Genomic DNA, 21,073 nt, shown 5'->3' on the forward strand with positions numbered 1-21,073 from the left:
TGAAGAAGTGAATGAGGGGAAAATGTCAATATATTACTTAATCAAGTGATCAAAGGTAACATAATTCGTAATGAGACAGACATTGTGAGCCTTCTGATGTGATGCACTGAGAAGAACACTACATTACTTATGTTACATCCCTGACAACAATGCATAAGCTGAAACTAGTCTTGAAAATCATTCTATAAAATCAATGGGCTGTTCTGTAAAAAAAAAAAAAAAAAAAAAGTTATAAAAAACAAAGAAAGGTCAAAGAACCACCCCGGATCAAGGACGACTAAAGAGATTTGAAAACTAAGTGCAACTGTGATTCTTCATTGCATTGTGGACCTGTAAAATACATGCTATAAAAGACATCAAAGAGACTATTAGAATAAATTGAATAGATCTTATGAATTAGATAATAGTACAATATCAACTTTTCTGATTTTGAAAATTTTACTGTGATTTCATAGGATAATGTTTTTATTCTTAGAAAATAACGCAATATTTAAGGGGAAAGAAACATGAACTTTGTAAGTTACTCCTGAATGACACAGAATAAAATAGATAAATATTATATATAAAATGCATATATTTATATAATTGGTCGGTCTTGGTTGGTGTCTATGTGTGTGTGTTTGTGTGTATATGTACATATATACACTATATATTTATACACATGTGTATATAGAGAGAATGCTAAAGCAAAGCAAATATGAGAAAATGTTAAAATTTGGTAACCAATTTGGGTGAAGGACCTATACAAAAACATTAGTACATTTTTGCCAATTTTCTGTAAGTTTGAAGTTATTTGAAAATAAAAAGTTAAAAAAATAATTCAGCAACCCCATTTGGAATTTATCTTAAGAAGCAAAGCCAACAGGTACTAAATATGAATCAATGACAATTATTCAGTTTCTAGCTTCAGTAATGGATGAGCATATGGAGAGCACAGGCTAGAGAGGAACAGGATTTGAAAGAGGAAGATGGTGATTTCTGTTTGAGGAATGTTTTTCAAAATGTCAGTATCATCTCCAGGGGGACATTACTGGTAAGACACGCCTGGAGTTCTTAAAAGAAGGAGCACTGGAGTTTGAGATTTTGAAGACATCTTTACAAGAGATATTCTCTGTTCAGGGATTCAGTTTCTTCCTGGTTCAATCTTGGGAGGTTGTATATTTCCAGGAATGTATCATTTCTTTTAGGTTTTCTAGCTTGAGTGCATAGAGGTGTTCACAGCAGTTTCTGAGAGTTTGTATTTCTGTGGAGTTGGTGGTAATATTCCCTTTGTCATTTCTGATTGTATTTATTTGGAACTTCTCTCTTTTTTTATTAGTCTAGCTAGAGGTATATCATTAATTCTTTCAAAGACTCAACTCCTGGATTCATTAGTCTTTTGTATGGTTTTTCACATCTCAACTTCCTTCAGTTTAGCTCTGATTTTGGTTATGTCTTGTCTTCTGCTAGCTTTGGGGTTGGTTTGTGATGTTAAGTTCTTAATTTGAGATCTTTCTTTTTGTTGTGGGCATTTAGTGCTATAAACTTCCCTCTTAACACTGCTTTAGCTATGTCCCAGAGATTCTGGTATATTGTAGCTTTGTTTGCTTTGGTTTCAAAGAATTTCTTGATTTCTGCCCTAATTTCATTGTTTACCCAAAAGTCATTCAAGAGCAGGTTGTTTAATTTCCATGTAATTGTGTGGTTTTGAGTGATATTCTTAGTCTTGATTTCTACTTTTATTGCCCTGTGGTCCAAGGGTATGGTTGGTATAATTTCAGTTTTTTTTTTTGTTTTATTTGCTGAGGACTGTTTTAAGCCTATTGCATGGCTGATTTTAGAGTATGTGCCATGTGCAGATGAGAAGAACGTATATTCAATCGTTTTTGGGTAGAGAGTTCTGTCGATATCTGTTAGATCCATCTGGTCAAGCATTGAGTTCAGGTCCCGAATATCTTTGTTAGTTTTCTGCCTCAATAATCTAATATTGTCAGTGGGGTGTTTGAATTCTCCCACTATTATTGTGCGATTATCTAAGTCATTTCATAGGTCTCTAAGAACTTGCTTTATAATCTGGGTGTTCTTGTGTTGGATACATATATATTTAGGATTGTTAGGTCAGCTTGTTGAATTGAGGCTTTCGCCATTATGTAATGCCCTTCTGTGTCTTTTTTGATCTTTGTTGGCTTAAAGTCTGTTTTGTCTGAAATTAGATTAGCAACTCCTCCTTTTTTCTGTTTTCTGTTTGCTTGGTAGATTTTTCTCCATTCTTTTACTTTGAGCCTATGGACATCATTGCATATAAGATGGGTCTTTTGAAGACAGCATACTGTTGAGTCTTGCTTCTTTAACCAACTGCCTACTCAGTGTTAATTGGGCATTTAGCCCATTTATATTCAAGGCTAGTTTTTACATATGCAGATTTGATCCTGTCATCATGTTGTTATCTAGTTATTATGCAGACTTGTTTGTGTGGTTGCTTTATAGTGTCACTGGTCCATGTACTTAAAGTGTGTTTTTGTAGTGGCTGGTAACAGTCTTTCCTTTCTATATTTAGTACTCCCTTGGCAACCTCCTGTAAGGCAGGTTATATTTAGCACTCCTTCTGGGACCTCTTGTAAGGCAGGTCTGGTGGCAAATATTTTACCACAAAGATGCCAAAAGCAACTGCAACAAAAACAAAAATGGGTAAATGGGACCTAATTAAACTAAAGACCTTCTGCAAAACAAAATATTGGCAGAGTAAACAGAGAGAATGGGAGAAAATATTTGCAAACTATGCATCCAACAAGAGTCTAATACCCAAAATCTATAAGGATGATAAACAAATCAACAAGCAAAAAACAAACAAACAAAATAAGCAATTATGTAATGCCCTTCTGTGTCTTTTTTGATCTTTGTTGGCTTAAAGTCTGTTTTGTCTGAAATTAGATTAGCAACTCCTCCTTTTTTCTGTTTACTGTTTGCTTGGTAGATTTTTCTCCATCCTTTTACTTTGAGCCTATGGACGTCATTGCATATAAGATGGGTCTTCTGAAGACAGCATACTGCTGCGTCTTGCTTTCTTATCCAACATGAACGTACACTTTTCAAAGATGATATACAAGAAACCAACAATCATATGAAAAAATGCTCAACACCATTAATCATTACAGAAATGCAAATCAAAACCACGATGAGATACCATCTCACACCAGTCAGAATGGCTATTACTAAAAAGTCAAAAAATAATAAATGCTGGCAAGATTGCAGGGAAAAGGGAATGCCTATACACTGCTCGTGGGAATATAAATTAGTTGAGCCATTATGGAAAGCTGTTTGATGATTTCTCAAATAACTCAAAGCAGAATTACCATTCAACCCAGTAATCCCATTATTGGGTATATACCGAAAGGAATATAGATCATTCTACCATAAAGACACATGCATGCACTATTCACAGTAACAAAGACATGGAATCAACCTAGATGCCCATCAATGGTAGACTAAATTTTAAAAATGTGGTACATATACACCATGGAATACTATGCACGCATAAAGAAAATGAGATTATATCCTTTGCAGCAACATGGATGGAGCTGGAGACCATTATCCTAAGTAAACTAACACAGGAACAGAAAATCAAATTGTGCATATTCTCACTTATAAGTGAAAGCTAAACACTGAGTACATATGGACACAAAGAAGGGAACAAGAGATACCAGGGCTTATTTGAGGGTAGAGGGAGGGAGAAGGGTAAGGATCAAAAACTACCTATCAGAGAGTATGCTTATTACCTGGGTAGTGACATAATCTGTACACCAAATCCCCGTGACACACAATTTACCTATATAACCTGAACATGTACCCCTGAACATAAAACAAAGGTTTTAAAAAAAGATATTCTCCACTTGCTGGTGTTTTTAATTAACTGACAATTTCTCTCTTCATTTAAACAATTTTTCCAAAGCAAACCTGCAACTTTGGCTTGGGTCTTAATATAATACATGAAATTTTCCTTTTTTATGAGCTAGACTCTCCTAGAAAAAATAGTGACATAAACAATTTATAATTAAGTTTAGAAGAAAAATTTAAGGGTATTATATTGAATAAGTGTCAATTGATAGTAGGGATCTAGCAATAGCCACAACCTGGCATTGCAGACATTAATGGCAATGAAGAAAATTTTGTATATGTTCCAAAAATTGATTGAAAATGATATTAGTTGAGGCTTTAAAATTCCTCAAGAAAATCAAGCACATGTTTTCAACCTTCCTAAACTTCACAATCTCCAGAGTTTATGTTCTAGGGGTCACCTTGGATACTAGTTTGGTTAAGCTAAACAACCTACCTGTGAAAACATTTGCCTTAATAAAGACTTCACTTTTAAATAAAGCTCGAATTTAATTAGAAAATGAAGAAAGCTGATGCTAAAATAGATTACACTAATTTAAGACTAAGAAAATGTCAGGTTTTCCAAACCTCAAGGTATAAAACTGACAGACTCAAAATGTTTTGCTAAAATAAATATAATTTTAATCATGTGTACCCAGGCAATTTCAACTTTTCCAAAGCAGAACACTAGACATTCTTGCCTGACCCTGGTCTGTTGTAAAATTCCAGAGATACCCTCCCATCATACTGTGAAGTAGCTCATCTTGACATGTAAATATCTCATACATAATTTATTCCATTCCTTGGAGCAATGATTTGAATAAAAGCAAAGCAGTGTTTCTGCTGTCTTTACTGTAAATGCTAATCTAAGAATATCAGAGTATCTAGCCAGACTGCATGGGTTTGAGTCTGAGTCTGCCACTTATGAACTGTGATCTTGTACAAGGTATGGAATCTCTTTGTGCCTTGTTTTCCCATCTACAAGATGGAGCAATGACATTACTTAGAGCTTTGGTCACATTATGTGCCAAATCAATTTGCCAAAGGAAAATGAATCCTACCTGCCTAGATGAACAGAGTTTCATCTTCCTCCAGAATATAATTCTTGGCCAAGAAACTACAGAGGTGCTTACTTATATCCGAAGGGTCAGCCTTAGGACTTCTTAGCTACAATGCAGATAGTATTTCTTGAGATGAAAGGACTCCACCAGCATTATTCATAAGCTGGCAGTTACAGAAACAAATGTCCCCAGCGCTGCTGCTATGGCTGCTGTCACTTCTGCCATGACCCCAGGAAGTTTCTAGAAGTGAGTGTGGTCACTGCTCATGCTCTGCCTGTGTACTGTTTAATATTACCATGCTCTGGCCTAGAAGAAGGGAACCCACCTTTCTTCTCCCTCCCTCTGCCCCAACAACTGTGAGCTCATCATTAGAGTTCAAGAACCCTAAAAGCTGGTCGATCACTAATTTTAAATTATCAAATTGTCTATTTTGGTATTTTCCTTGTAAATTTTTTCAATAAATTATGGCCACAGGTTATCCTGGGTAAAATGCTTGTCCCAATTCCTTGGAATATCATCTGAGGCTAGGAATAGCCACGGTTGTGCATGGATGTGGCATCATGTGCAGATTGTAGAATACCACTGCAAAGCCCAATTTAGACTCCATGGGTGAGATCATTCTACCTTATATAATACATAAAAATGCTCAGGGTATACACACTTTGCAAAATGCTTTGAGGAAACATTGTTATGCAGCATGGTCTCCACTGAACAGTTTTGACAGAACAGGGCACTTAAGAGCAGCTGTTGGCCAGGCGCGGTGGCTCACGCCTGTAATCCCAGCACTTTGGGAGGTCAAGGCGGGTGGATCACCTGAGGTCAGGAGCTCGAGACCAGCCTGGCCAACATGGCAAAACCCCATCTATACTAAAGATACAAAAAATAGCCAGGCATGGTGGCACATGCCTATAATCCCAGCTACTCAGGAGGCTAAGGCAGGAGAACTGCTTGAACCTGGGAGGAGGAGGTTGCAGTGAGTCGAGATTGTACCACTGCACTCCAGCCAGGGTGACAGAGCGACACTACATCTCAAAAAAAGATAAAAATAAAAAAGCACCTGTTACAGGAAAATAAATAACAATAACAATTTAAATCCATCTCTTGATAACTCAGATGACTGCATGTTCATGAAAACACCCTCTTCGATGGTCAGTATGATCTCTCTGAAGCAAATAGAATATTTCTTCAAATGTCTTTTACATGTCCCATTAATTGTTTCAGTATGATTATAGGAGACAGAAACGATGAGGTAATGTTCAGGAAAGCAGACACAAAGAGGCAGAGGAAGTATTCACTGATCAGGGCCACATATGATGCAGAGGAAGGAAGTGCAAAGAGCAAACTGGGACCTGAAGTGGGTTGAAGGAAACTTCTCACAAATTCTGTTATAACTCAATAAAGAATGTGTTTGAGATTTAATTAAAATGAAGCTCAAAAAGACTAATGCATGAATTTAGAATAATTCCAAACCCAACTAGAGAAAGCAGTAAGGGTTTCTACCCATGTACCACCTCTCAAGTGTCTTTTGCATTCTGCTCAAGGAATGCTTTTAATAAAAAAAAAGAATAAAATTAGAAATATTTTCTGATGAGTGATTTTTCCTAGTACCAATTTATGATGAACCTATATTTTTCTTACCAAAACTATGGATATTTTTTTACACACAATAGTTTGCCTTTTCAACACAGAGTTAGTAACCCTAATGAGAAGAAATCACAAGCAGAGGATGAGCTTACTGCTAATAGCAACCCTAGGTGACACCCCCAGGACAGTGTGTCCATAGGGGCTGAGCTACTGTGCTATAACATGCTGAGACCCTCAGCGCTGGGGCAGCAAGGCCAGGGATGGCAGAACTTCATCTGGGCTCCTCAGAGGGCAGCCTGAGGTATGCTATGGGCCACACAGGTAGGGAACCCCAAGATGGCCACTCCTGCCACTTTGCCCAGGTGGGATGCAACAGCCACCTCCCAAGTGCCTACTGCCCATTGTAGACAAGGGTCCTACATTAGTTTCCTGTAGCTATCGTAACAAATTCCCGAAAACTCAGTGACTTAAAAGAAGAAAAGAATTATTTTCTTGCAGTGCTAGAGTACAGAAGTCTGAAATTAAAGTGTCAGCAGGGGTTATGTTCCTTATGGAAGCTCTAGGAGAGTCTTTCTTTGTCTCTTCTAGTTTCTGGAGGCTTTTGGCATTCTTTGACTTGTGGCCTTGTGGCTGCATCACTCCAATCTCTGCCTCCGAGGCTATATCACCTCTTCCACTTCTGCCGAATCTGCTATTACAGACTCAATGTGTGTGCTCCACATTCATACATGTTGAAACCCTAATCCCAATGTAACAGTATATGGAGATAGGGACTTTGGGATGAGTGGAGCCCTTATGAATGAGATTAGTGCCTTTAAAAGAAGAGGCCAGAAACCTACCTTGCTCTTTTTTTAGTCATGTGAGGAAACAGCAAAAAGTTGGCAGCCTACAACCTGGAAGTGGGCTCACACAAGAATCTGACCATGGTGGCACCCCGACCTTAGACTTCCAACCTCCAGAACTGTGAGAAATAATTTCCTATTATTGACAAGCCACCCAGACTATGATATTCTGCTATAATGCCCTGAAGTGTCTAAGCAGTCTTCCCTGTGCATTTCTTATAAATAACTTGTCAGTGGATTTAGAGCCACACAGATAATCCAGGATGATCTCCTCATCTCAAGATCCTTAATTTAATTATATCTGCAAAGTTCCTTTTCCCACGTAAGATAATAGTCACAGATTCTGGTAATTAGGACATGGGCATATTTTGTGAGGGCCACTATTCAACTCACTACAGAGTCCATGAGACTGCCAAGAGAGCTGGTGTCCAAGATGTTCAATAGCTTAAGGTGAGCCTGGTAGGGGAAGGGATGGGGACAGGGAAGGAAGAAGCAGAAAGCTCAGGTGGGTGCTGGGAAAGAGGTAGCTCCAAGTAGTGGCCCCTACATTCTGGCATCACAGATATTGAATATTTCTGTTTTGTCATCCAAGCTGGCTGCATAGTAGCTCCTCTAACACACAGACCTGTCCCCAAATTAAATTGTCATTATTTCAAAATACTTGGCATTAAAAAAAAGTATTGGATTCAAAGATCTATTCTTTTTAGCAAGGGAAATTCTAATTTTACAGTTGTTTTTGAAAAAAAGGCACAAGGTGCTAAATTTTTCAAATACACTTTAACTGTTATGTTAACGGTTTTAATTTTTATAACTTATGCAAAAAAGTGTCTTATCAATGAGGATTGTTAAGACCTTGCAGGAATCATCATTAATAAGACTTGACTAGGAGACTAGGAAGTGTTTAACCATTTCAGGCATGAAAATATGCCAAAGAAAAAAAGGTCAGGAAAGCATACTGAAGTCTCATTTTAAAAACTGCAAAGATTTGACTGTTTCAATATTCAATCTTTTCATTAATATTTGTGTTTATCACAATGATATAGATAAAGTATACATAATATGTTTTTTCAACAGGTCCCATGCAGATGCCTGCAAATCCCTTTTAGTTTACTCCAGTGTGAAAAAGTTAGAACTGTTATATGAAATAAGCATGAAAAATGCTTTTTCTCTTTTCCTCTGATATTAAATTATATATAATATATATAATAGCAGAGGAATATATAACATATATACAATAGCAGAGGAAAAGTGTTTGTGTGTGTTACTACGTATAGCATATATATAAACACAAACATTTTATATATACATAATTTCCATAATATATATTACATATTCAGTGATCAAAATTACTCTTTAGTTAGAAAAGTCAAAGAGGAATATGTGGGAATTGGGGAATGGGAAGAAAGAAGAGAGAAAAGAAAGGAAGTAATTTGGGTTTAAGTAAGGCTGAGAGTGTTAAAAATGAGAAAGTACAAGTGGTTAGAAAAAAAAGGATATTTGCAAAGAAAGTCATGCAGCCAAAAGGGACCCATTATGGAAAGTATTTGGTTTATAGTTTAATGCCTATTCTTCAGTCTACTTATTTGTTAATTTATTTACTCTACTTCGCTCACAAGCTTCCTCTCAAAATTGTACCACTCTCCTCAGGCAGGTGGATAAAGTACGGACAAATAACTAGGAAACAGTCCAAGACTTTATATTGCTTGTCACAGCAGTACCTCTTGTAACAATTTTTTCATGTGTGTATAACAAAAATATGTAGGCCAGTGGTTTCTTCAGACAAAAGTAGTCTTCACATTCCAGAAACTCATGGGGAGGTTGTTGAAAGAACAAGTTGTGCACACAGAAACACACCTGAAGAATCAGCCATTCCCTGGACTGGAACTTTAGCTCTGTTTTGAAATAGCTGAGGTGATGTTGACCTCCCTGGAAAAGACTTAGTCAACCCCAACAAGGTCATTCACCTTGGGAGCACAGGTCAGAGTAGATTTGGCCAATCAGTTCATGGCCATATTCGTATTCAATGTTGTTGGTTCCTCAGGGGATGGGACTTGGGTTTCAACACCCAAGGAAACAGCAAGTGAAGACATCAATTTAAGAAGAAGAGGAAAAAAATATGACTACTAGGACAAATTAAAGACTTGGTTGTGCACAAACAGAATGCCAGGGGTTAGCATAACATGGGGTGGTGAAAGTTGACCAGAGGTGGAGGCCAGAGCCCTGGACACTAGTTTGCACCTACTGCAAGTCACTTTTCATGTCAGATCCTCATTTTTCTCATCTGTAAAGAGAAAATATTTTATGAAACGATTTATGAGGTTTCCTCTCATCTAATTCTACAAATGCTCTGTGAATAGCTTCTGACTGGCTAAAAAGTCTCACTCCGTATAACTTAAGAGAGTGTGACTTTGTTGTGGTATGTCCTTGATCCTGGAGCATTCAGGAAGCTTGAAATATTTTCTCTATGACCCTTCACTCTTTCAGTGATGAAACTTGCCACAACTTGCCACAACACAAACTTGCCATGTGTATAGTATATATACACATGACCCGATCCCTATTTTTATTACCAGGGATTTGGCTCTAACTTTGCCCAACTCTCAGGTGATACTAAACTCTGGAGATTTCCCTGACCTTCACATTTGCTGTAGAGGACTAAACCCTAGTGCTAGATGGAGTTTGGATGCTCACTTTCATTACCTGATCCTTAAAAATTTAGAGCAAATATTTCTGATTTAAGATAAAATTATTAATATGATGTGTTAACATTTGTTTCTGGGGTGTTATTATAGCAATTAATGAGTCATGTAGGAGCTCCAAAATAGCAATTCAGAAATAGATATTACTGAGTAAGCAGTAAAATAAATATCAAAATTCTAATGATTGCCAGCTTTGAGTAAATCATGCCAGTTTAGGAAACAGAAGTGTCTATGATACTGCTGAACTAACTATATACAGCCCCCCAACAATTAAAGCCATATTAATTTGAAAGCAGTCAGTAAATATAAGAAACTTAGTTATAATATATAATATATGAATATATAATATAATATAACTTAGTATATATAAGAAACAATAGATCAGTAGATCTTCACCATGACTGCATGTTAGACCTATCAAGAGAGTTTTTAAAAATTAGCTTCCTCTGTTCCCTTCCCTACCCAATCAATTAAATTGGGCTCTCTGTGATGCGGCCAAGGTGTTAATATTTGTGCTGAGTTCCCTAGGTACCAATAATTTTTCAACAGACAGGGCTGAGAAACATTGCAGTCTATTATTTTTCTGGGGCATTATATGGCACTTCCATAGAGTAAAATTGAAACAAAGAGGTTTGAGTGCAAAGTATGACTCACCCAACTTCTCTTAGCCTCAATTTCCCCAGCTATAAAGAAAGAGACAGTATCTGCTCCACCAAATTGTTGAGAAAGTTAAGTAAGTTATATTTGAAAGTATTTGATACACAATAGATGCTCAAAAGGTATTCATTGAATGTTGAATTCATTTTCTATAACTTTTGTTAGCTTAATGTTAGGTGGCGATGGACAGTGATGATCTCAGTGTTAATATGGTGACCATAGTAAAGAAGGTGCCTGTAAAATATATGTGAAGAGTAAATGTAGACATTGATTTTTCTTCTTATATACAAACATATAGATGAGAAATATGGGATTTTGTTAAGTTTCTTTTATATACTTTAATAACTCATGTTATTAAGTTCATTATATATATGTCTATTTATATATAGCTATTAATTGATCTAGGTATAGATGAGGAATATGGCATGTTATATTCATCTTAAAAATGTGTAAAATCGTGAATTCAAATATAAATAGGAAATAAAACAACAACATGACATTAAAGGGGATCTCATCAGCTAGATATGAGCCTTAAGAGGCAGGAGACCAACATGCCCCTCTGCTCAGCCTCAAGCCTGTCACTACCAAGCCACACCTTGGAGCTCAGCCTAGAGGGTCTCCATCACTCACCTGAAGTTGAATCTAAACTCCCTCTGTAACAGAACGCCAGTCTGGGGAACTCTGAATTGACTACAGGTTCACAGATAGAGATTGCTTAATTGGAAGAAAAGTAAGAAGAAAAATCAATGTCTACATTCATTCTTCACATATTCCTCAATAGATCTATATATCTATTGATTGAGGGGTCATATTTCTACATCTTGTTCATTTGTAACTTGGATATTACATAGTAAAATCTGTTTGATTGCCATCCTTGCCATCTCTTGTAGGACATTTTGGCTCTAATTTTGAAAGCTGGATATTACTTTCTTTCCACTTTCTGTAAACTGAGGCTAGGAAGGAGAAGAAAGGGAATACTCCAATGAAGCCACATACTTCCTTTCTGAAACACTGTTAAAGATACTCTGGCAGGCCCCCCTGCACCCAGCTGGGAGTGTATTCACTCCTTTATCATACAGGTAGGCTTCTGCTATACCCATCTTGGTATGAAGCCCTGGAAATAAGCAAATTCTTACACAGTGGGATCATGCAGCAAGAGTCTATATACTCAAAAGTGTTTACTAAATTTTTCTCTTAACCTTCCAAGGGTACCTCACCATTCCACCTGTCTCCCCATGGAAGATGCGAGTGAGAATGCCATGACTCTGTGACCTCACAATACTAAAAGAATTTTGCTTCTGCAGGATGGGACCACAGCCAGAACTCTATGCCACACCAGAATTTACTTATTCAACACATATTTCTGAGTGTCAACTCTGTGCCAAGTATCATTTTAGTTTTACAGCAGTGAACAAAATACACAATGTGCCTGAACTATGAATATTACTATTGTTGACGTGACAACAATGAATGAATAACAAAACAGATTTATATAAGCCAGGTTGTATAAGTGTTATAGACAAAAATGAAATAAGTGTTTAGCCAGGGTTCTCTAGAGGGACAGAACTAATAGGATAGATGTATATATGAGGGGGAGTTTATTAAAGATTATTGACTCACACAATCACAAGGCCCCACAATAGGCCGTCTGCAGGCTGAGGAACAAGGAAGCCAGTCCGAGTCCCAAAACCTCAAAAGTAAGGAAGTGGACAGTTCAGCCTTCAGTCTGTGGCTGAAGGCCCGAGAGACTGTGGCAAACCACTGGTGTCGGTTCAAGAGGCCAAGAGCTGGAAAACTTGGAGTCTGATGTTTGAGGGCAGGAAGCATCCAGCACAGGAGGAGGATGAAGGCTAGAAGACTCAGCAAGTCTGCTCCTTCCAAGTTCTTCTGCCTGCTTTATTCTAACCATGCTGGCAGCTGATTAGATGGTGCCCACTCAGATTAAAGGTGGGTCTGCCTCTCCCAATCCACTGACTCAAATGTTAGTCTCTGGTAACACCCTCACAGACACACCCAGGAACAATACTTTGCTTCCTTCAGTCTAATTAAGCTGACACTCAATATTAACCATCACAGTAAGCATATCAGAGACTATAGGGTCTGCTGTTTGGGACAGGGTGTTCTGAAAGGACCTCTGGTAAGGTGACTTTTGAGCATAGACCTGAAGAAAATGGAGGAATGAGCCCTGTACATTGTCAGGGAAGAACTGCTCTGGCAGAGGAAATACAGATGGAAAGGGCCTGCACTGGAAAAGTGATCGGCATGTTAGAGGCACAGTGAGGAGGCCAACACAACCGGTGAGGAGTGAATCAGGAGAATAATAGGGGATGAAGTCACAGTATTGGGACCCAGGTCATAGAGAGCCCTGGAAGGCATTTTAAGGACTTGGACTTTGAGGAAAATGAGAAACCATTGGCCAGTTTGGGGTACATGGATGATATTTAACCAGAAGATTCTTTTTCCTCTCTATCAAGTCATCACTTTCCACATTTTATGGAAAGAAGTTTTATCTTTTCTTGTTAAGCTATTGGTGAATTTTTAACTTTGGGGTTTTGTTTCGGATAGGTATTGGGAGAAGGAGAGGCTGTCAACCCATGCCACTATGCTATCTCTAATTCTGCCATCCAGACCGAGTAAGTTTTATTTCCACTGTATTCTGCCGTCCATGGCTTGCAGGAAGGGGTTCACCCCTACTCACCCTACAGGCCACTTCCATGAAGAGCTGTGCCCAGAGGCTCCCTGGGCCCAGCACAACAAGCACATTCACGTATCCCCAGCCTCAAATGAGCCTCATTTACAGTCCAGCAGTGTGTGCCTGCACGGTAGTTCTTTATGTTTCCTTTTCAATAAATATATGACTCATACCAGTATTGTCCTTTGTTTAGCTTTCATCTTTCTCAGAGTTTGAAGTGTTTGTAAGAAATAGTTGTAGATTTATTTTTAAAGCCTTGCTACCTTAAATCAAGAATTTTTTTTTTTTTTTTTTTTTGAGACGGAGTCTTGCTCTGTCGCCCAGGCTGGAGGGCAGTGGTGCCATCTCGGCTCACTGCAAGCACCGCCTCCTGGGTTCATGCCATTCTCCTGCCTCAGCCTCTGAGGTAGCTGGGACCACAGGTGCCTGCCACCACGCCCAGCTAATTTTTTTTTTTTTTATATTTTTAGTAGAGACGGGGTTTCACCATGTTAGCCAGGCTGGTCTCAATCTGCTGACCTTGTGATCCACCCACCTCAGCCTCCCAAAGGGCTGGGATTACAGGCGTGAGCCACCGCGCCTGGCCAAATCAGGAAATTTTAAAAGCATAACATGCCACTGTATTTCTTTTTCTTATGAAAAGCAATAATGCTAAATTTACAGGCATAATGTTGTATTGGCATTAAAGATGGCTATCAATCCATTAAAATAATCAATATGTTATTTCTTGACCTCCTGGCCTCATGATCCACCTGCCTCGGCCTCCCAAAGTGCTGGGATTACAGGCGTGAGCCACCGTGCCCAGCCAAAATAATCAATATGTTATTTCTGATGCTGAATGTATACACAAAAGTTTTCAACTATCTGAAAAAGAGGATCTTCTGATAAATATTCATCATATCCTAATTTTTAAAATTAGAGTACTTCAAATTTAGATGTTATGTTAAAAAAAAAAAACTCCAAATTCTCACACGTGAAACCTGATCTTGGTTCTGATGTTTACTTTTTTTGAAGTAAGTAGAAATAATTGAGTACAGAAGAAACAATTAGCTAGATTTGTTAAAATCTGGTTAAATATTGTTTTAATTATCACAGAAGATGTAAAGAACATGTAATTTTATGGATTATTTATAGAATAGTGGGCAAAACCAATTAGGTATTAAGAAGTGAACCTTGAATTTATGCATTTTTGTAACAGAACTTCTAGCTGTACTAAATACAAACTGAATTTTTGGAGTTAAAAAACTCTTTCATTACGCTTAAGATATATTATTTATCATATTAATAAGCTTCTCACATCATACATTGTGTATTGTTATTGTGGTTATTTTTGTCAACAATTTTTATCAAATGAGTTCTAATTTTTGGTGGAGAAATTTTGGCAACTACACAAAGAATGTACCAAATATCACTTCTGCAAACTACACATATGAACTTTTCAAAATCCATAAATTACTCTTCTCTGGTTTGGCTGAAGTTAGAGAAGCATTGTTAAATAATATTTACTGAACACTTTTTCTAAAAAAAATTGTGTGTTTTCATAATGTGTTTTGATTTAAAAGAAAGTTGTTATTATTAGTGAAAACATTTTTTGTAATGAGCCAATAAAGTCCTCAAAATTAAAATGAATCATACTATGGAAGACCTACATTTGATACACTTTTTTTTCTCTGAGCAGGCAAACGTACTTAAGACCTTTGTGTAAGATCAGAAAATCATAAGACAGCATTAAAAAGTACTATACAGGAGGAGATGGAACAAGATGGCCAAATAGAAGCCTCCAGCAATCATCTCCCCGAAAGGAATTGAACAACTATCAAAACAAAATTGAACAACTATCTAAACAAAAAAGTACCTTCATAAAAAACAAAAATCAGGTGAGTGATCACAGTACCTGCTTTTAACATCATTTTTTAAAATACTTTAAGTTCTAGGGTACATGTGCACAACGTGCAGGTTTGTTACTTATGCATACATGTGCCATGTTGGTGTGCTGCACCCATTAACTCGACTTTTACATTAGGTATATCTCCTAATGCTATTCCCTCCCCCCTCCCCCCACCCCACAACAGGCCCTGGTGTGTGATGTTCCCCACCCTGCATCCAAGTGTTCTCATTATTCAATTCCCACCTATGAGTGAGAACATGCGGTGTTTGGTTTTTTGTCCTTGCGATAGTTTGCTGAGAATGATGGTTTCCAGCTTCATCCATGTCCCTACAAAGGACATGAAATCATCCTTTTTTATGGCTGCATAGTATTCCATGGCATATATGTGCCACATTTTCTTAATCCAGTCTATCATTGTTGGACATTTGGGTTGGTTCCAAGTCTTTGCTATTGTGAATAGTGCCGCAATAAACATACGTGTGCATGTGTCTTCATAGTAGCATGATTTATAATCCTTTGGGTATATACCCAGTAATGGGACGGCTGGGTCAAATGGTATTTCTAGTTCTAGATCCTTGAGGAATAGCCACACTGTCTTCCCACAATGGTTGAACTAGTTTACAGTCCCACCAACAGTGTAAAAGTGTTCCTATTTCTCCACATCATATTAAGGAAAGAGGCACTGAAGAGGATAGGAAAGGCAGACTTGAATTGCCTACACCACTCTTCCCCCATCCCCAGACAGCAGCCCCTCATGATGCAGAGAGAGAATCTGTATGCTTGAGGGTGGGACAGTGCAGTGACTGTGGAATTTTGCATTGGAATTCAGTGCTGCTCTGTCACAGCAGAAAGCAACAAAGGCCAGAACTCAGCCAGTACCCATAGAGGGAGCATTTCAACCAACCCTAGCTAGAGGGAAATAGCCCATCCCAGTGACAGAACTTGAGTTTTGGCAAGTCTTGCCAACACAGGCTAAAGTGCTCTGGGGTTCTAAATAAACTTGAAATGAATGGCAGTCCAGGCCACAAGGACTGCAATTTCTGGGCAACTCCTGGTGCTGTGCTGGGCTTGAAACCAATGGGCTTGGGGTGCACACAACTTAGTGAGACATCAGCTGGGGTGGCCTAAGGAGTTCTTGTGTCACCCTTCCCAAACTCTAGGCAGTGAAGCTTGCAACTTCAGGAGAGAACCATTCCTTCCACTTGAGAGGAGAAGGGAGAGTAAAGAGTACTTTGTCTTACAACTTGGATACCACCTTAGCCACAGCAGGATAGAGCACAGAGCAGAGTCCCAGGCTCCCATTCCAGGCTCTAGCTCCCAGATGACATTTCTATACATACCCTGGGTCAGAGGAGAACCCATCACCTTGAAGGGAAGGACCTAGTTCTGGCAAGATTTATCACCTGCTGACTAAGGAACCCTTGGTCCCTGAACAATCAGCAGTGGTAGCCAGGCAGTACTTACCATGGGTTTGGGGTGAGATTCAGAGCCACGACCCAGTACATTCCCAGCTTTTGTGACTATGAGGAGAAACTCTTCTACTTGAAGAAAAGAGAGGGCAGAATAAACAAGACTTTGTCTTGTAGTTTGGGCACCAGCTCAGCCACAGTGGCGTAGAGCAGCAAGCATATCCTTGTGGTCCCTGATTCCAGGCCTTGGCTCTTAGGTGACATATCTGAACCTGCCATTGGCCAGAGGGGAGCTGACTGCCCTGAAGCAAGAGTCCCAGGCCTGGCAGCATTTACCATAACTGACTGAAGAGTGCTTGGATCTTGAGTGAACATGAGCAGTAGCAAGGCAGTTCTCACTGTGGACCTAGGGCAGTGGTAGCCATGAGGAGAGACTCCTCTGCTTGTGGAAAGAGAAGAGAAGAGTGGGAAGAATTTTGTCTTGTGGCTTGGGTGCCAGCTCAGCCACAGTAGAATAGAGCACCAGGTATATTTCTAAGGTTTCCAACTCCAGGCCCTGGCTGCTAGACAGAATCTCTGGACTTGCACAGGGCCAGGGGGAACTCACCACCCTGAGAAGGACACAGTCTGTCTGGCTTTGCCACTTACTGATTTTAGAGCCCTAGAGCCTTGAGCAAACATAGGTGGTAGCCAGGCAGTTTCACAGCTGACTCTGAGTGAAACCCAATGCTGTGCCGGCTTCAGGTCTGAAGCACTGTCCTAGTGGTGGTGGGTACAGGGTTGTTTGTGTCACCCCTCCTCTAGTTCCAAGAAACTCAGCACACACAGAGAGAGAGAGAGAGGGAGAGAGAGAGAGAGGGAGAGAGAGAGACTCCATTTGTTTGGGAGAAAGTAAGGGAGGAGAACAAGAGTCTCTGTCAGGTAATCCAGAGAATTATTTTGGATTTTATTCTAGACTATCAAGGCAATACCTCTATGAGTCTGCAAGAGCCACAGCATTACTGGGCTTGGGGTGGCTCCTAATGCAGATATGGCTACAGTAACCAAAAACTTAGATTACAACACTGAAGTTTCTTCAAATGCCTGAAAAGCCTTTCCAAGAAGGACAGGTACAAACAAGCCAAGACTGCAAAAACTGCAATAAATACCTTATCCTAACTCTTCAATGCCCAGACACTGACAAACTTCAAGGAAAATGACCTCACCAAATGAACTAAATAAGGCACAGGGGTCAATCCTGGGGACACAGAGATACGTGACCTTTCAGACAGAGAATTCAAAATAGCTGTTTTGAAGAAATGCAACAAAATTCAAGTTAAAACAGAGAAAGAATTCAGAATCCTATCAGATAAATCTAATAAACAGATTGAAATAATTTAAAAGAATCAAGCAGAAGTTCTGGAGTTGAAAAATACAAGTGACATACTGAAGAATACATCGAAGTCTCTTAACAAAATTGATTAAGCAGAAGAAAAAATTAGTGAACCTGAAGACAAGCTATTTAAAAATACACAATCAAAGGAGACAAAAGAAACAAGAATTTTAAAAAAGAAGCATGCACAACACCTAGAAAATAGCCTCAAATGGCAAACCTAAGAGTTATTGGCCTTAAAGAGGAGGTGGAGAGAGAAAGATAGGGGTAAAATGTTTATTCAAAGGGATAATAGCAAAGAACTTCTCAAACCTATATAAACGTATCAATATTCAAGTACAAGTTTAACCCAAATAAGATTATCTCAAGACATTTAACAGTCAAACTCCCAAAGGTCAAGGATAAAGAAGGGATCCTAAAAGCAGCAAGACAAAAGAAATAAATAACAAACAATGGAGTTCCAACACATCTAGCAGCATACTTTTCAGTGGAAACCCTACAGGCAAGCAGGAGAGTTGCAGGACATATTTAAAGTGTTGAAGGATAAAGATGATAACCTTTGAATAATATACCTGGTGAAAATATCCTTCAGACATGGAGGAGAGATAAAGACACCCAGACAAACAAAAGCTTAGGAATTTCATCAACACCAGACCTATCCTACAAGAAATAGTAAAGGGAATTCTTTAATCTGAAAGAAAAGGACATAAATGAGTAATAAATACTCTGAAAGCACCAAACTCACTGGTAATAGTAAGCACACAGAAAAACACAGAATATTATAATACTGTAATCACGGTGTGTGAACTACTCATATCGAGTAGAAGGATTAAAAGATAAACCTATAAAAAATAACTATAACCATGTTTCAAGATATAGACGGTATTATAAGATATAAATAGAAAAAACAAAAAGTTTAAAAGCAGGGAGATGAAGTTAAAATATGGAGTATTTATTAGTTTTCTCTTTGCTTGTTGTTTGATTATGCAATCAGTGTTAAGTTGTCATTAGTCTAAAATAATGAATTACAAGATGGTATTTGCAAGCCTCATAGTAATCTCAAATAAAAACCATGCAAAAGATACACAAAAAATAAAAAGCAAGAAATTAAAATGTACCACCAGAGAAAATCTCCATCACTAAAAGGAAGACAGGAAGGAATAAAAGAAGGAAGAGAAGACTATGAAACAACCAGAAAACAACAAAATCAAAGGAGTAAGTCCTTACCAATAATCACATTGAATGTGAATGGACTAAACTCTCCAATCAAAAGATACAGAATGGCTGAATAGAGTTTTTAAAAAGACTCAATGATACTATAAGAAACACACTTCACCTATAAAGACAACTATAGACTGAAAATGAAGGGATGGAAAAGATATTCCATGCCAATAGAAACAAAAAAAGAACAACATTTACTATATTTGTATCAGACAAAATAGGTTTTCCTGACTGTATTAGTCTGTTCTCATGCTGCTAATAAAGACATACCTGAAACTGGGTAATTTATAAAGAAAAGAGGTTTAATTGACTCAAAGTTCCAAATGGCTGGCCTCACAATTATGGCTGAAGGTGAGTGAGGAACAAAGTCATGTCTTACATGGCGGCAGGCAAGAGGGCATGTTCAGGAGAACTCCCCTTTGTAAAACCATCAGATCTCATGAAACTTATTCACTATCACAAGAATAGCACAAGAAAGACCCACCCCTATGATTCAATTGCCTCCCACCAGGACCCTCCCATGACACAAGGGAATGATGGAAGCTACAATTCAAGATGAGCTTTGGGTGAGGACACAGCCAAACAATATCACTGACAAAAACCATAAAAAGAGTAAAAGAAGGTCATTATATAATGATAAAGGGGTCAATTCATCAAGAAGATAGAGCAATTATATATGATACAGCACTTGTAAATATATATGCACCTAAAAATATATGCATCCAGATATAAAAAGCAAATACTATCAGAGATAAAGAGAGAGAGAGAAAATGCAATATAATAATAGCTGGTGATTTAACACCCCACTTTCAGCATTGACAGATCATCCAGACAGAAAATTAACAGAGAAACTATGGACTTAATTTGCACTATAGAACAAATGGACCTAGTGGATATCTACAGAACACTTCATCCAATGGCTGCAGAATACACATTCTCCTCAGCACATAGATCATTATCAGGGATAGACCACATGTTAGGTCACAAAACAAGTCTTAAAACATTAAAAAATTACAATAATATCAAGCATCTTCTCTGAGCACAATGGAATAAAACTAGAAATCAATAACAAGAGGAATTTTGGAAATGATACAGATATGTGGAAATTAAACAATATGCTCCTGAATGACCAGTGCATTAATTAATAAATTAAAAATGAAATTTAAAATTTCTTGAAACAAATGGCAATGGAACCACAATATAACAAAACCTTGGGATACAGCAAAAGTTGTGCTAAGAGGAAACTTTATAGCTATACATGTCTACATCAAAAAAGTAGAAAAAACTTCAAATAAACAGCCTAACAATGCATCTTAAAGAACTAGAAAAGCAAGACCAAATCAAACCCAAGATTAGTAGAAGAAAAGAAATAATAAAGATCAGAGCAGAGATAAATGAAAAAAAGTACAAAACACCAATGAAATGAAAAGTTGGTTGTTAGAAAAGATAAAATTGACAAATCTTTAGCCAGACTAACTAAGAAAAATAGAGAGAAGACCCAAATAAATAAAATGAGAAGAAAAAAGAAGACATTACAACTGATGTCACAGAAATTCAAAGGATCATTAGAGGCTACTATGAGCAATTATATGCCAATAAATTGAAAACCTAGAAGAAAATGATAAATTCCTAGACACATACATCTTACCAAGATTGATCTATGAAGAAATTCAAAACCTGAATTGACTAATACAAGTAACAAGATTGAAGCCACAATAATATGCCTCCCAGCAAAGAAAAGCCTGGGACCTGATGGCTTTACTGCTGAATTTTACCAAACATTTAAAGAAGAAATA

At 37.9% G+C, this 21,073-nt stretch overlaps 2 long non-coding RNA genes across 8 annotated transcripts in view; one reads left to right on the forward strand and one right to left on the reverse strand.

Annotated features, from left to right (window-relative positions):
* Nucleotides 1–819: 819 nt before the first annotated feature.
* On the reverse strand, nucleotides 820–11,941 carry LOC102724434 (uncharacterized). 3 transcript variants are annotated; one of them, NR_130922.1, is made up of 4 exons: nucleotides 11,913–11,941; nucleotides 11,326–11,409; nucleotides 9,582–9,620; nucleotides 820–2,646 (listed from the first exon to the last, which is right to left on the reverse strand). It is a non-coding gene; the product is annotated as an uncharacterized LOC102724434 (long non-coding RNA). The 3 variants fall into 3 exon arrangements; NR_130921.2 differs by lacking the exon at nucleotides 11,913–11,941 and adding an exon at nucleotides 11,832–11,878; NR_130923.1 differs by lacking the exons at nucleotides 9,582–9,620; nucleotides 11,913–11,941 and adding an exon at nucleotides 11,832–11,878.
* LOC105375463 (uncharacterized) overlaps nucleotides 10,693–21,073 on the forward strand; it is a 51,730-nt gene continuing 41,349 nt past the window's right edge. For 2 of the 5 annotated variants that reach the window (XR_001745329.2, XR_007060482.1), the window contains exons 1-2: nucleotides 12,848–13,328; nucleotides 15,066–15,264. This is a non-coding gene — a long non-coding RNA (uncharacterized LOC105375463). Of the gene's footprint in view, nucleotides 10,772–12,630; nucleotides 12,643–12,847; nucleotides 13,329–15,065; nucleotides 15,265–21,073 lie in introns of those variants that run through there. The other 3 variants (XR_001745336.2, XR_001745335.2, XR_001745332.2) reach the window with 3 other exon arrangements.

Source organism: Homo sapiens, chromosome 7 (assembly GCF_000001405.40).
Source record: "Homo sapiens chromosome 7, GRCh38.p14 Primary Assembly".
Classification (NCBI taxonomy): domain Eukaryota; kingdom Metazoa; phylum Chordata; class Mammalia; order Primates; family Hominidae; genus Homo; species Homo sapiens.